Genomic DNA, 16,095 nt, shown 5'->3' with positions numbered 1-16,095 from the left:
TTGCCAGTAAATATGTAAGAACTTAAAGATCATGGAAAGTTTCCTGGAAAAATATTACAATTTCCCAAAACTAACTCAAGAAGAAGTAGAAAACCTAAAGGGAAAGTAACTCAGTAATTTAAGAAAGAAAGAAACAGACAAAAAAATCACCTTGCCCATAAAGAAGCACCAAAGCATGAAGACCAGACAGGCTTATAGGCATATTTTACCAGAACTTTAAGAATTAAATAGCCTTTTTCTTTTTCAAACTATTGCAGAGACCAAAAGATAGGAAAGTTCTCTACTTCCTTTCATGAGGCCAGCAAAATTTTAATATCAAAACTGAACAAAAAACAGCAACAGAAAGTGAAATTATAAGCTCAATCACTTGTATAAGCATAGATGGTAAAATCTTACATATAATATTAGCAGTCAAGCAAGTTTTAAACAGGAGTGTAAGGATAATTTAATAGATGTAAAACCTATAAATGTAAATACTGTATTTATACAGAAAAAATCTCAAATAATACCATATTATGTGATAAAAAGCTCAACATCCTCTTATAATACAGAGTTTTAACCAACTAGGAAGAGTAAAGAAACTTCTTTTAACTAGGAAAAGTATATATATATAAAGTAAACCTCCTACTTTGCTATCAATGATGGAAGCATCTGCTTTAAAGTCAGAAACACAATGAAGACACCTGTTATTTACAAAACTGTTCAACTTCTAACTGGAGGTCTTTCCCAACTCAATAAGACAAGAAATAACAATAAGAGAAAAATAAAGAGCGATTCAAAACTGTCATTAATTGTAGAACTTATTGTCCACAGAAAATATTTTGAAAATTACAAACTTTTAGAACTAATAAGAGAATTCTGTAAAATTGCAGAGTACAGGATCAATTAATAAAAAATAGATCGATGACATTTCCATACACAAGAAACAAACAATTAGAAAGTGAATGACAAATTAAAATATCTATTCAATAATAAATGGAATTTTTTAAATCTGTAAGGTTCTTGGGAATAAATCTAAAGTAGTATATTACTTGAAAGTATGAAATTATATACCTTTAATGAAAAATGTAAAGGAATACTCAAGTAAATGGAAAGATACATCACATTCATTTACCAGAAGGCTTAAAATATCATGAAAATATCATGAAGATATCAATTTTTCCCTAAACTGATCTACAAATTTGTATTTTCCCTAAACTGATCTACAAAACATTCCCAGTGAATATTATAGCTTGTCATGAAAATTAACAGGCTTAATCTGAATTTTATTCAGATGAATAAATGATCAAAAGTGGACAAGGAGATTAAAGAAAAGGAACTTGTTCCATCACATACCAAAGCTACTATAAGGCAGTAGTAAGTAAAGCAGTGTACAGAAAGATTGACAAGCAAACAGAAAAGAATGGAGAGCCACTGTGCCAAACACAATGATACTAGGTGTGCATTAAAGCATCTTAACACAATGCCTTGCACCTAGTAAGCACTCAGTAGACATTTATTAAACAAAGAGTTTGTGTTTTTAATATTACCATTTGATTTCACTTCAGCATTTACAGGTCGCTTAGAATTTACTACATGAAACAAGACAGTAACTAAAGCAAGAATGGGTCTTGCCCTGTCACCCCCAGGCTCAAGTACAGTGGCTCAATCATAACTCACTGCAGCCTTCAACTCCTGGTGTTCAGTGATGCTCCCGCCTCATACTCCCAAGTAGTTGGGTCTACAGGCATGAGCCACCATGCTTCTCTAATTTTTAAAATTTTTTGTAGAAACAGGATCTTGCTATATTACCCAACTGGGTCTTGAACTCCTGGCCTCAAGTGATCCCCCTACCGTGGCCTCCCAAAGTGTTGGGATTATAGGCATGAGCCACCTAACCACAAGGATGTTTTAGTTTGAAAGTCATTATTCTGGGATGAGAACATAGCCTCTTCTAGTGTTTCTCAAGCTTCACAGTGCATCAGGGTTACTAGAAAGACTCATTAAAATGCAGATTATGAAACCCCACCCCTAAAGTTTCTAATTCAGTTGGTCTGAAATGGGGTTACAAGAGTTGAATTTCTAATAAGTTTCCAGGTGATGCTGATGCCATTGGTCTGGAGACTGTATTTTGAGAATCACTGGTGTAATCCTTTGGGGGTGCTTAGAGAAAGTAAAACACTATTTTTTTAAATCTGAATCATATATAAATATATATACACACACGTATATATGTATATGTAATATAATAAGACATATATACACCAATACATATAATATGTAATAATGCAATTATTAAAATCATACTCCTTATATTACAAATTTATAAAATAAAAAGTAAAAATAGCTACCAATTATTGAGTGTTTATTATGTGCAGGGCACTGTGGTAATTGCTTAAGATACATTACTTATTTCAATCTTAACAACTCTACAAAATAAACATTATCATCCCTATTTTCCAGATGAGTAAATTGAGCCCCAGAGAAATTGTAAGTGGCCTAGCCAGCTAGAGAGCCGTGACACTAGAATCTATCAGACTCCAGATCCCAAGCTCTCAGCTTTTGCACTACATTGCCTTTATCTCTGAAATAACAAGTGGCTGTTCCTGATCCACCTATCCACAAACCTGACAACTGTTTACAATTTAAAGCACCAATAATTGGAGCCATCAAGTCCACTCTGAAAGTCAGATTATGGGGAAAGGCAATAAAAACCTTGCTTCTTTTTACCTGAAATTAATCATTCATTCTGCTGAGAGGGAAGAAGACTCAAAGAAACAAATTGAAGATGTTAATAAAATATCCAGGTAGTATTGGTCTTGATCTCCCCAAACCACAGAACAAAGATTCCTATGCAATACATTCATTTCCTCCCTCAGTCCCAGTGCAATCATTTGCAAACACAATGAAGAAAAGAACTAAACTGCACTTTTTGGGAAAATGTTCTAGCATCCTTTTGTTTGCCTTTCTCTGTGTAGCGAGCTATTACAGAAACTCTGAAAGTCTCTAAGTGTAAGGGGATGGAAGCAAAGACACTACTTATTCTTTAGTGATCCTGAAAGTTTGCTGATAAAAGAGAATGAAGTAGCAAGAGGATATGTAGCCAGATTGGCCCAGTCAGAAAGTAAAATTTCAAGAAAACAGAGATTGGGAAAATTGAGACAAGCTGTTCTTTAAGAAGGAAGGAGCAAAGTGTCATCTTTATTTTTAAAGTTGATGGCATATTCATTTTTCAGACTTTTATAGTTTTAAGTTTTAAAGAAGGAAAAAGTGAAAACATTAAAATACTGAATGGACAGAGCAGAACTTCCCATTAAAATAAATACACTTTGTTTTATTGTTGGGAAAACTCTAACGAGTGCCAGACTATTAACTAAATTCTGTCATTTTTTGAAAGAAGAAATTTCCAGAAGGTAGGTTAAATTGGTATCTACTTAATATATCTTGGAATTATAAAATTAAAAGAAAATATGCTAAAATACTTTGAAAAACTACACATCTTAAACCTCCTGCATACCATGTTCATGCCAAAACCTGCTTCCTTTGTGTCTGAAATATGAGGCTATTAGCAACATTAACCTGAAGGAGACTACTGCCTCAGTCTACATGGGGATCATTTTGCTACATGGCTAAGAATGCCAGCTCAGTTTGTGCTGATCTTATAGGTGTATTGGGGACTGAGAAATCTGATATCTAATTAGCACTAGTATTTATGCATTGCTCAAGATTAGATCTTAAACTCATCCTTAATGCCTCTTTCTCACACTCTTCTTTTAATTGACAATTCCTGTCAGCTCTGCCTTCAAAATTTATCTCAAATCCAGCTCTTTTTCTCCCCTTCACCACTTGCACCTTAGCTGGAGCCACCATCATCTTTCTCTTAGACTGCTGAACTAGTTTTGGTCCTGCTTCTGCTCCTGCAAAATATTCTGCACAGAGTGGTCAAAGTGATCCTTTTAGAACCTAAGTCAGATAGTGTCACTCCACTGCTCAAATTCTCCAACAGCTGCCCATCTCACTCAGAATGAAATCCAAAGTCATGACCACAGCCCAAAAGGCTCTAGTACATCTGACCCCTGGTTACCTCTCACACCTCAATTCTTACCTGTCTTTAAGTCCTTCGTAGACATGACCACCAAAATGCTGCTGAGCAATCACAATAACACCCCTTGCCCCATTCATTTCCCTTCTCTCACAATTACTTCTCCTCTCTCCTCAAAGTCCTCTCTCATTCCTGCTCCCAGATGATGCTCTTATTCCTTGTTGTGCTAAGAAAGCTTTAGAAGAGTCCACATGCCCCTATCTCTATATTTACCCACCTACCAGCAATTAGAAGAGTCCACATGGTCCCATCTCTATACTTACCCATCTACCAGCGTCCATGCCCATTGATTTGCCCTCCTCATGGATACACTGGCCGTGCTTGTATTTAAGGCCAATCTCTCTTCTCATGCATCAGATCCCTCCTCTCTAACCTTCATCAATTCTCTCCTCTCACTCCTGTATCAATTTTTCCCTCTCCCCTGGATTATTCTCATCAGCATACAAACATCACATGATTTCTCCCTTCTTAAAAGTAAAAGAGCTCTCTCAACTTTGCTTCTGATTTGTACCACCTTACTGCAGCAAAACTTCTCTTAAAAAAATAATCTTTACTTTCTCTCCTCCCATTCACTCTTGATCCCACTACACTTACTCAATGCAAATCTAAACCCAGTGGTCAGTTCTCAGACTGCACCTCGTGTGACCCACCAGCATCTTTTGGCATAGTCCATCACTCCCTCCTCCACACATTTTCTCTGCCTGGCCTCCAGGATGCCACAAAATTCAGGTGTTGCTCCTAGTCAGGACTTACTCTCTTCTGCTCCCCTCACCCTATTCCCACCCCAGAACTCAGCTTCTCTGGCCGCATCTCCTATCAGGATCTCCTCATTCTCTATCACTAGTAACACAAGTTGGCCTCTTTGCTGTTCCTCAAATAAGTCAGTTTAAAAGGCCTCATCCTTGCTCTCATCTCTGCCTGGAATGCTCTTTCCTCAGCTCCTTTAAGTTTTTGTTCAAATGTCACATAATCAATAACATCCTCCCTGACTACCATATTTAATATTGCAATATCTACCAACCCTTAAACTTCCTACTCCCATTTATTTCCTTCATGGCATTTACCACTTTCTAATATACTACAACATTTATTTATTCAATTTAAGTCTTCCCTTTGGCCAGAATATGGTCACCTTGTCATTCAAAAGTTATTTGATGCAGATTTTTTATTCTAGACACCTGGCCTGTTAACCATGTAGCAAATCATTGTCAAATTAATGAAGCTTTGGCTTCTAGCATATGAGTTAAAATAAATATCACTATTGGAGACATTATATCAAAAAGCTGAGACATACTTAGGACCCCAAATTAATGAACAAAATATTCAATAATAAACAATATTAAGTTCCCAGAAGATTGCTCAGAGCTGGCTTGGCCGACATAGAGAACTGTTTCCATAGCCATGGTGGGAAATACTAATCTTGAAAAGAGATGCCTCTCAAATCTTTAAGTGAGCCAGTACCCTAGGTAACTAAATGAGTAGAGAAAGTTAGGTTCTATCTTACACATAAGATTATCCAGTTGCCAGCCCTCAAATACTGACACCCCATGAGCAGATTGCTCTTAAATTCTTCAGGTCTTCGAGTAGACATAATCATTTTACAGAAGCCCAACTCAGAAACAATTATACTGCAACATAAGCAGTAGAACCATTTCATGCCAAGCTAATGACTCTGGGACATGCAAGGCATGACTCTCTGTACAAATCCACTTTAGAGCAGAGGTCAAAACCATTAAACTAATGGTGAACTTGAGTCCCTGGGCTCTGAGTGCCCCATGACTCCAGGGGATTGAGATTTGTAAGAAAAATACTAAACATAGAGCTCTGTATAAACACTCTAAAGGATTCTTTATACAAATGCCTTTTTGTCTAAAATCAAAACTCTAGAAAATAGAACATAAGTTTCTACATTTAAATTGTTAAAAATCATTAAAAAGACATTCAAGAGTTAAAGAAAAAGAAAAAAATTCTCAGCATGAAGTATGAAGATATCGCTGCTTGACTTTAATAAAAGTTCTATTAAATCTGTTCTTTTCTGTTTAAAATGCTCATTATAAAGCTGTAGTCCCTTTACATTTTCTTAAAAATTCAAGCTTTGCAACTTCTGAGAGCTTTGGTGTTAGTGTGATGAGCTACCTTCCCCCTCCCCAAGAAATGTCCTTATTGAGACTGAGTTTCCTTGGGGATGGTGGGGGGAGGGGGTGGTGAGTGACCTGGCCATATGATGTCAACATACTACCACAGAAGACAGAGATGAAAAACCATGTTCATGGACTTTTAAATTTAAATTTAAATCTGTAAAATCCTTATAACAAAAAACACTCCTACACAGAAACTAGCTAGCTGTTCACCAAGCATTTTCTATTCTTGCCCCAGTTTCCCAGCCTCCCTTGAAGTCAGCCATAACTGAAGTCCAGCCAATGAAATATGAACAGAAGTGATGTATACCATCCCCAGGACTTAGCCTATAAAAAATTTCTGGAACAATGTCAGCTTGATGTAGATGGGTGTGGCAACCTTAGAAGCCCTAGGTCAAAAATGGCAGAGCCAGAGATGGAAGAAGCCCAATAAGGAGCCATAAATGACTACTTGGAAGATAATTGCCATTGAAAGAGAACCAATATTGGACATTACATAGATGTTAACATAATTTTATTGGCTAGGCATGGTGGCTCATGCTTATAATTCCAGCCCTTTGGGAGGCTGAGGTGGGCAGATAGCTTGAGCCCAGGAGTTTGAGACCAACCTGGGCAATATGGCAAAACCCTGTCTCTATAAAAAATACAAAAATTAGCTGGGCATAGTGGCATGTGCCTATAGTCCCAGCTACTCAGGAGGCTGAGGTGGGAGGATTGCCTGAGCCTGGAAGACAGAGGTTGCAGTGAGCCAAGATAGTACCACTGCACTCCAGTCTGGGTGACACAGCAAGGCCCTGTCTCCAAAAAAATAAAAATAAAAACTTTTATTAAGATTTTTTTTCTTGCTGTGTTACTATAGCCCTCATTACCTTAACAACATTGTATCTTAGTTCAGAATGGTAAAACTCAGTGAAGAATTAAATTACTAATGCCTAATCTATTTAAGGTAAGCAACTGTACACCAAGCTCTAACACACATTGTCTCTTAGCATTCAAATTCAACAGGCTTGCAACAGTTGTAAAGAGACTAATACCAGGGTCTTCTTTTTAATAGCTAAAGCTTTCAATCAGCGAAACACTTGAAACTGCCATAAATAATGTAAAAACAAAGATTTGGGTTGCTCTTGCTACTGTTGAATAAAAAGAGTCATGGCCTTCTTCACTCTGATCAAGCTTCTCCCAATCCAAACCCTGGAGAAGCCTGAGCACTGGAAATAGTGGGGGAAGAAAAATAAAAGATCTAGGAAAAGGAAAGGGTCCTTGAGCCACTGATCATCTGCACATGGTCAGGGAAGAAATTTTGGATTCGATATAAAATTGAAGTTCTGATTTTACATGAATAAGACTTTCAGTGCCCAAAAATATCTTAATAATTAAAACAAGGAAAGGTAGAATAAAAAACAGATAAACAAATAGAAACATAGATATAAATCTTACCATATCTGCCAGTCACCATGCTTACATCTGTAATCCCAGCACTTCAGGAGGCCAAGGTGGGAGGATCACTCTTGGCTAGGAGTTTGAGACCAACCTGGTCAACATAGCAAGGCCCCATCTCTACAAAATTTTTTTAAAAACATAGCTGGGCATGGTGGTTCATGCCTGTAATTCCAGCTATTAGGGAGGCTGAGATGGGAAGACTGCTTGAGCCCAGGAGTTCGAGGCTGCAGTGAGCTATTATCATTTCACTGCACTCCAGCCTGGTCAATGGAGAAAGACCCTGTCTCTAAAAATATAAAATAATTTTAAAGAAACCTAAACATATCAGTAATAACATTAAAAGTAAATGGTCTAAACATCCTAATTAAAAAGCAGAGATTGTCAGGCTGGATTAAAGAACACAACCTAATGACATGCCATTTATAGAAATCACACTTTAACAAATTAACAATATTGGGAACAAGAAAAATAACATCGCTACAAATGTGACAGTTATTAAAATGATAATAAGGGAATACTATGAGCAATTTTATGTCAATAATTTCAACAACATAAGGAAAAAATGGACAAATTTCTTGAAATATACAAATTATCAAAGCTCACTCAAGAAAAAAATAGGTAACCTCATTAGTCCTATATCTATATCAAAAGGTGAATTTATAGATAAAAACCTTTCCAAAGAAAACTTCTGGCCCAGATGCTTTTACTGGCCAATTCTACCAACATTTAAGAAAATATAAAATCAATTCTATACTAACTCTCTCCAAAAAGACATCCAGATTTGAAAGTGAGAAGTAAACCTATTGTTATTCACTGATGACATGATCATCTATGTAGAAAATCCAGCAGATCTACAAAAAAAGCTACTAGAACTAATAAATAAACTTAAGATTGTAGGATAAAAATTAATTTGCAAAAAGTCCATTTTTATTTCATACACAAGCAATGAACATTTGGAAGTTAAAATGTTAAAATATTTGTAATTGCATAAAGATATTCTTAGGGATAAATTAAACAAAAGATTGCAAGATCTATAAACAGAAAAATATAAAATATTACTGAGAAAAATTAAAGAATATTTACACAATTAGAGATATATACCAAACTAGTTTGGAAGACTCAAAATTGTTCTCCCCAAATTGATATATAATGGCAATATCAAAATTAGCAGACAGAAGGAAACAATAAAGATTAGAGCAGAAATAAATCAAATAGAGAATAGAAAAATCATAGAGAAAATCAACAAGAGTTGATTTTTTGAAAAGATAAAATTGACAAACCCTTAGCCAGACTAACTATAAAAAAGAAAGAAGAATTAAATAAATAAAATCAGAAATTAAGGTGGAGACATTACAACAGATACCTAAGAAATTAAAAGGATCATAAGGGACTATTATAAACAATTACATATGAACAAATTGGATAACCTAGAGGAAATGGATAAATTCTTAGGAAAATACAAACCACAAACATTGAATCAGGGAGAAAGAAAAAGCCTGAACAAACCCATAACAGATAAAGAGATTGAAGCAGTAACTTAAAACCTCCCAGCAAAGAAAAGCTCAGGACCAGATGGCCTCACAGCTGAGTTCTACCAAACATTCAAAGAAGAATTAATACCATTCCTTCTTAAACTTTTCCAAAAAATGTAACTAGAGGGAATACTTCCAAACACATTTTACAAGGCCAGCATCACCTTAATACCAAAGCTAATCAAATATACCATAAGAAAAGAAAACTAAGGCTGATATCTCTGATGGATGCAAAAATTTTAATAAAATATTAGCAAACTGTTTTCAACAACACATCAAAAAGATTATACACCATGAACAACTGGAATTTATTCCTGGGATGCAAGGCTGGTTTAATATATGCAAATCAATCAAGGTGTTACATCATATTAACAGAATGAAAGATAAAAACCACATGACCATTTCAACAGATGCAGAAAAAGCATTTGACCAAATCAACATCATTCGTAATGAAAACTCAACAAAATAGGTACAGAAGGAACTTACCTCAACACAGTAAAGCCCACTGTGAAAAGCCCACTGCTATCATAATCAATGGAGAAAAACTGAAAGGTATTCCTTTGTGATTCAGCACAAGGCAAGGATGCTCACTCTTGACACTTTTATTTGATATAGCCAGAGCAACTAGACAAAAAAAAAAAAAAAAAGTAATGGGCAGCCAAATCAGAAAGAAATAAGTACAATTGCCTATGTTTGCAGATTATATGATCTTATATAAAGTAAATCCTAAAGACTCCACAGAAAGAACTGATAAACAAATTCAGTAAAGTTGCAGGATTCAAAAACAACACACAAAAAATAGATGATATTTCTATACACTAACGATGAACTATTCAAAAAGGAAATTAAGAAAACAATCCCATTTACAATAGCAAAATAAAAAAAATACTTAGGAATAAACATAACCAAAGAGGTTAAGATTTGTACACTGAAAACTGTAAAAATTTAATGCATAAAATTAAAGACACAGACCAATGGAAAGACAACCCTTGTTCATGGGTTGGAAGAATTTATGTTGTAAAAATGTCCAAGGTGATCCACAAATTCAATGCATGGCATTCTTTACAGAAAAAAAAAAAAAAAAATCCTAAAATCACAAAAGACCCTATTACATATACTATTTGTTTTTATTATTATACTTTAAGTTCTGGGGTACATGTGCAGAATGTGCAGTTTTGTTACATAGGTATACATGTGCTATGGTGGTTTGCTGCACCCATCAACCCATCACCGACATTACGTGTTTCTCCTAATGTTCTCCCTCCCCTAGCCCCCGACCCCCAAACAGGCCCTGGTGTGTGATGTTCTCCTCCCTGTGTCCATGTGTTCTCATTGTTCAACTCCCACTTATGAGTGAGAACATACAGTGTTTGGTTTTCTGTTCTTGTGATAGTTTGCTGAGAATGATGGTTTCCAGCTTCATCCATGTCCCTGCAAAGGACATGAACTCATCCTTTTTTATGGCTGCATAGTATTCTGTGTTGTGTATGTGCCACATTTTCTTTATCCAAGGACCCTATATAACCAAAGTAATCTTGATCAAGAAGAACAAAGCTGGAAACATCAATACTTTCTGATTTCAAAATATATTACAAAACCATAGTAACCAAAGTAGTATGATACTGGTATTAAAACAGCTACATAGACCATTGGAACAGAATTTTAAAATCCAGTGTCCAAACTCAATAAAAATGGAAGCAAAATAGGAAACTGGAAATAAATCTGACTTATAACTATAAAAGCAAAAATTCTAAATAAGTATTAGCAAAGAGAATCTCTCAATATATCAAAAGACTAAGTTGAGTCTCTTTCAGGAATAATCGGTTGGTTAACATCAGGAAATTAATATATCCATTGAATTAAGTGCAGCAAAAAAGTAAAAGATAAAACACATGTCCTATCAATAAATACTTAAAAGGCATTTGACGAAATTCAGTAGCCAGTCCTAACTAAAATAGGGCTAGAAAGAAACCACTTAAATTCAACAAAGAAATTTCCTAAAAGCTAGCGGCAAATTTTAAAATCATAGCTAGATAAAGATTATGTTTCACATTATTTCAACACTATTATAGGTATTATAGTATACATAACATGAAAACAACTGGCACAAGTATTGGGAAAGATGAGAAAAAAACTCTTTTTGGTGGTTACATGATTGTATACCTGCATGCACAGAAAAAAAAATCAAAAATTTTAGTAAAAAATTGTAAAATTAATTTTAAAATTTGTTCTAATTTCTGAATTCAAAATAAATATTTTTAAAAATTAGCAGTTTTTCAGCCAGGCATGGTGGCTCACACCTGTAATCCCAGCACTTTGGGAGGCTGAGGTGGGCGAATCACCTGAGGTCAGGAGTTCAAGACCAGCCTGGCCAACATGGTGAACATGGTGAAACCCCATCTCTACTAAACTTACAAAAATTGGCCAGGTGTGGTGGTGGGCACCTGTAATCCCAGCTACTCGGGAGGTTGAGGCAGGAGAATCACTTGAACCCAGGAGGCAGAGGTTGCAGTGAGCCAAGATCACGCCATTGTACTCCAGCCTGGGCAACAAGAGCGAAACTCCATCTCAAAAATAAAATAAAACAAAATAAAAGTTTATTTATAGTATGCAAAAATCTCTTAGAAATACATAAGAAAAATGTAACCCAATAAAATAATGGGCAAAGACAATTCACAGATGGGTAAATCAATGGCAAACAAACAAATGAAAAGATATACAAATTCACAAGCAGTAACCATGGATATGCAAATTACAGTAACAATATGATTATCACTACAGCCATCAGACTGATAATTTGAAATGCCATAACAGCTATTGCTGGCTGGACATAATGAAATGGGTACTCTCTGAGATTGCTCCTGGGAAGGGACGTGTTTGGACCTTCGGGCAAAGCAATCTGGCATCATTTCTTAGGGGTAAAACACGTATCCACACTTAGGCCACTTACCAATAACATTCCTGTGTGTTCCATAAAATCAATTTCTTTGTAAAGACATATGTTAAAAGATATTAACTGTAGCATTGTTAGTAGTGGTAGAAGAAAAAGAAAAACCAGAAACACAAGCAATGCCTATCAATAGGAGCATGCCTTTAAAAAATTTCAGTCACTGAAAATGATAAATTGTAACTCCATCAAACAACTTGGAGGGTTTTCAAATGAGGTACTGTTGAGTGAGAAAAGCAGGATGCAGAAAAATATGTAATATATGATCCCACTTTTTAAAAAAATCTATAAAACAAACTGTATATATATATATATATATATACACACATACATGTGTATATAATATAGTGTATGTGTATGCATGTATGTCATACATTATATAAGGATTATATAAGGACATATAAAAATATGGAAAGATGCATTCAATGTTGTTTTAAAGGCTGTTTAAGGGACAGAAAGGATGATGTAAAAGGAAAGAAGAAGAGGATAAAGCAAACAAAAAAAATTGCAATAAAAAGAGAACTTCATGATTTTAAAGGCATGCATTGATGAAATTATGTACATGTGAGTACATATAATTAAAATATACTTTTTTTTTTTTTTGAGACGGAGTCTTGCTCTGTCGCCCAGGCTGGAGTGCAGTGGCACGATCTTGGCTCACTGCAAGCACTGCCTCCTGAGTTCACACCATTCTCCTGCCTCAGCCTCCCGAGTAGCTGGGACTACAGGCACCCGCCACCACACCTGGCTAATTTTTTGTATTTTTAGTAGAGACAGGGTTTCACCGTGTTAGCCAGGATGGTCTTGATCTCCTGACCTCGTGATCTGCCCACTTCGGCCTCCCAAAGTGCTGGGATGACAGGCATGAGCCACCACATCTGGCCAAAATATACTTTTTAATATGTTCAAATATATAGGATTTAAAATATTTTAGAGAAAAATATGAATACATCAAGAGACAAAATTCTGCTTCTCTAGTGATCAAAGAATTCCAAGGTGAAAGAATGAGTTACCGTTTTTCCTTAGAAGATTAGAAAAGATTTTAAAAGTTGATAATACCCATTGATTGTGTGGATGTAGAGAATTAAACACTCTGGATGCTTTGTGCTTTGTGAATGTAAATTGTTAGAACCTTTCTGGAGCATACTCTGGCAATATTTATGAAAAGCCCTTAAATAATCAGTGTACAATCCTACAGAAAGGTATACAGAGAATAAGGATAGTCAGTAATATCAAGAAATTGTAAGCAAGTTACCTAAATGAAATAACATATGTAAAGTGCATAGCGCAAACTTGAAATATTATTAACATTCAACAAATGTTCTAAAACTGAGGGATTTGGTTAATCAATTGGTAGTTGATATGGTTTGGCTGTGTCCCCACCCAAATTTCATCTTGAATTGTAGCTCCCATAATTCCCACGTGTCATGGGAGGGACCAAGTGGGAGGTAATTGAATCATGAGGGCAGGTCTTTCCTGTGCTGTTCTCCTGATAGTGAATAAGTCACAGGAGATCTGATGGTTTTATGAAGAGGAGTTCCCCTGCACAAGCTTTCTCTTGCCTGCTGCCATCCACATAAGCTCTCTCTTGCCTGCTTGCTCCTCCTTGCCTTCCACCATGATTGTGAGGCTTCCCCAGTTGTGTGGAACCGTGAGTCAATTAAACCTCTTTCCTTTATAAATTACCCAGTCTCGAGTATGTCTTTATTAGCAACAAGAGAACAGACTAATACAGTAGTCAAGCTCAGGAGGAGAAAAAAATAATGAAATATTTAATAAATAGTACTAGCATCCTGGAATGGAAAACAATGCAAGTTTTTAAAATGATAATGCAGATCTATGTTCTGATTTAGAAGAACATGAACAAAACCCAAAATATTATTAAAGGGAAAAAGGAAATTGTAAAGCAGTATCTTTGAAAATGCATTTGCAATTACATTTTGTAGAAAAAAAACTGAAAAGAAGTGCCTGAAAATGTTAACAGTGGTTATCGCTGAATAGTGGAATTTTTGAGGTTCATTTCTTTTTTTCCATCTATGTTTTCTCATTTTTTTCACAATGAGAGTGCATTGTTGCATAATTTTTAAATTTTCCAAAGCATCACAGTGTGGATCAATGTTTAGAAAAGGGAGTCAGAATCCTAGCTCCTTAATGTAATAGCAATGTGACATTAGGCATTTTACTTTTAAAAATCTGTTTACACATCTGTTGATTAATGATACAGAACCAAAATAAGCCATCTCCTGGTCATTCCAAATCAACAGGCATTTGCCATACTTGAATCCACAGGCAGTGGGGAGGAGGGTGCATGCTGACATTAGCTCACACTAGCAAAACTTCATGTTGCTCAAACAGATATTCAAAAGACAGGCTCAGATGCAGGAACTTGTGTGGTTATTTTCAAATGTCTCATGACTTGAAAGAACAGGTGTTGGAGGAAACTGTGTCTACATACTTGCTAGGAAAGCATTCTCAGGTTTCTTTTCTAATCATGGAAAAGATGATACATTGATGGGACTGTTACCCCTACTTTCTGAAAACAGCCAAGCAACCAGATGCATGAAACCCATATTCAAGAGCAATGAAGTCATGGTTAAAAGTCCCAAGCATCCTAGCAATGAAGCTAAAAGAATTATATAACCTACAAGTCCCAACAAGTTTCCCCAGGTCCACCATGTACCTAATAAAACTTTTCTGAGGACCATTAAAAGACAATTCGAAGTTCATCTATCAGGACCTTTGGATCAACTCCAACAAAATACAGAATGTCCCTGATGGGGCTGTTTAGAGATACAATTGCTGCATGCTCAAAGTTACTTTGGAAGACAAAAGGAATTTTTGATTTACAAACAGAAAGAGAAAAGGAGAGGACATTCCATTCTGGAACCAATAATCTACAATGACAATGAAGAGCACGAAGAGGGGTTGAGACCTTTATGCTGCTCGGGGAGGACAAGGGAGGTAGGGCAGTGAGACACTGCAGGGAAACCCACATCCTCCACCGGCCCAGTACCGTCCTTGGAATCAATGATCCTCTAATTTTCTTTAATATTGAGGGCAAATAATTCTGCTTTGGGAAAGAATGAGAGGGCCGAGCCTCAGGATGAGTTCTGTGTAGAGTCTAATAAAAATGATGTAAGCCTGCCAGGTGTGGTGGCTCACGCCTGTAATTCCAGCACTTTGGGAGGCTGATGGGGGCAGATCACGAGGTCAGGAGTTCGAGACCATCCTGGCTAACACAGTGAAACCCCGTCTCTACTTAAAATACAGAAACAAAAAAATTAGCCGGGCATGGTGGCGGGCACTGTAGTCCCAGCTACTCCTACTCAGGAGGCTGAGGCGTGAACCCAGAAGGCGGAGCTTGCAGTGAGCCAAGATCACGCCACTGCACTACAGCCTGGGTGACAGAGTGAGACTCTGCCTCAAAAAAAAAAAAAAAAAAAGGTGTAAGCCAAACCCAATGTGAGGCTGAGCTGTTATCTCTCACCTGGGCTTCTGTGATGGCCTCTTCACTGGTTTCCCTGTGTCTGCTGTCTACCTTCCAGAGAGGTCTTTTTAAAACACAAATTAGATCACGTCCCTCCCTGAAGCTTCTCCTCACACTTAGAATAAAATCCAAAGTCCTCACCTTGGTCTATAGGGTAACCACAGGTGTTAGTTTTCCTGGGACAATCCTGGTTTATGGCTATTGGTGTTGCTCCCCTCTGATCTCCCCATGAGTTGGTCATTTCTTCACTTGATCCAGGTCTCTGATCAAACATCATCTCCTCAGAGAGGCCTTCCTTGGCCTCTCTGTTGAAAAAAAACAACTCCCTAATCCCTTCCCCTGCTTCACTTTTTTTTTTCAAATATCTTATCACTACTTATTATGTCACATTTTTATTTCTTAATTTGTCTGTTTCCCTGACTGGAACTGTGCCCTGGGAGGGCAGCTCTCTGCAGTCTTCACTAACACAC

The 16,095-nt window shown here is 36.4% G+C and overlaps 1 long non-coding RNA gene across 1 annotated transcript in view; it reads right to left on the bottom strand.

Moving 5' to 3' along the window:
• DLEU1 (deleted in lymphocytic leukemia 1) overlaps nt 1-16,095 on the bottom strand; it is a 446,475-nt gene that overhangs the window by 85,416 nt on the left and 344,964 nt on the right. The window contains exon 4 of the long non-coding RNA NR_109974.1: nt 9,678-9,815. This is a non-coding gene — a long non-coding RNA (deleted in lymphocytic leukemia 1). The remainder of the gene's footprint in view (nt 1-9,677; nt 9,816-16,095) is intronic.

Source organism: Homo sapiens, chromosome 13 (assembly GCF_000001405.40).
Source record: "Homo sapiens chromosome 13, GRCh38.p14 Primary Assembly".
Lineage (NCBI taxonomy): Eukaryota > Metazoa > Chordata > Mammalia > Primates > Hominidae > Homo > Homo sapiens.
The sequence above is the reverse complement of the archived record's forward strand: the minus strand, read 5'-3'. Positions and strand labels throughout refer to the sequence as shown.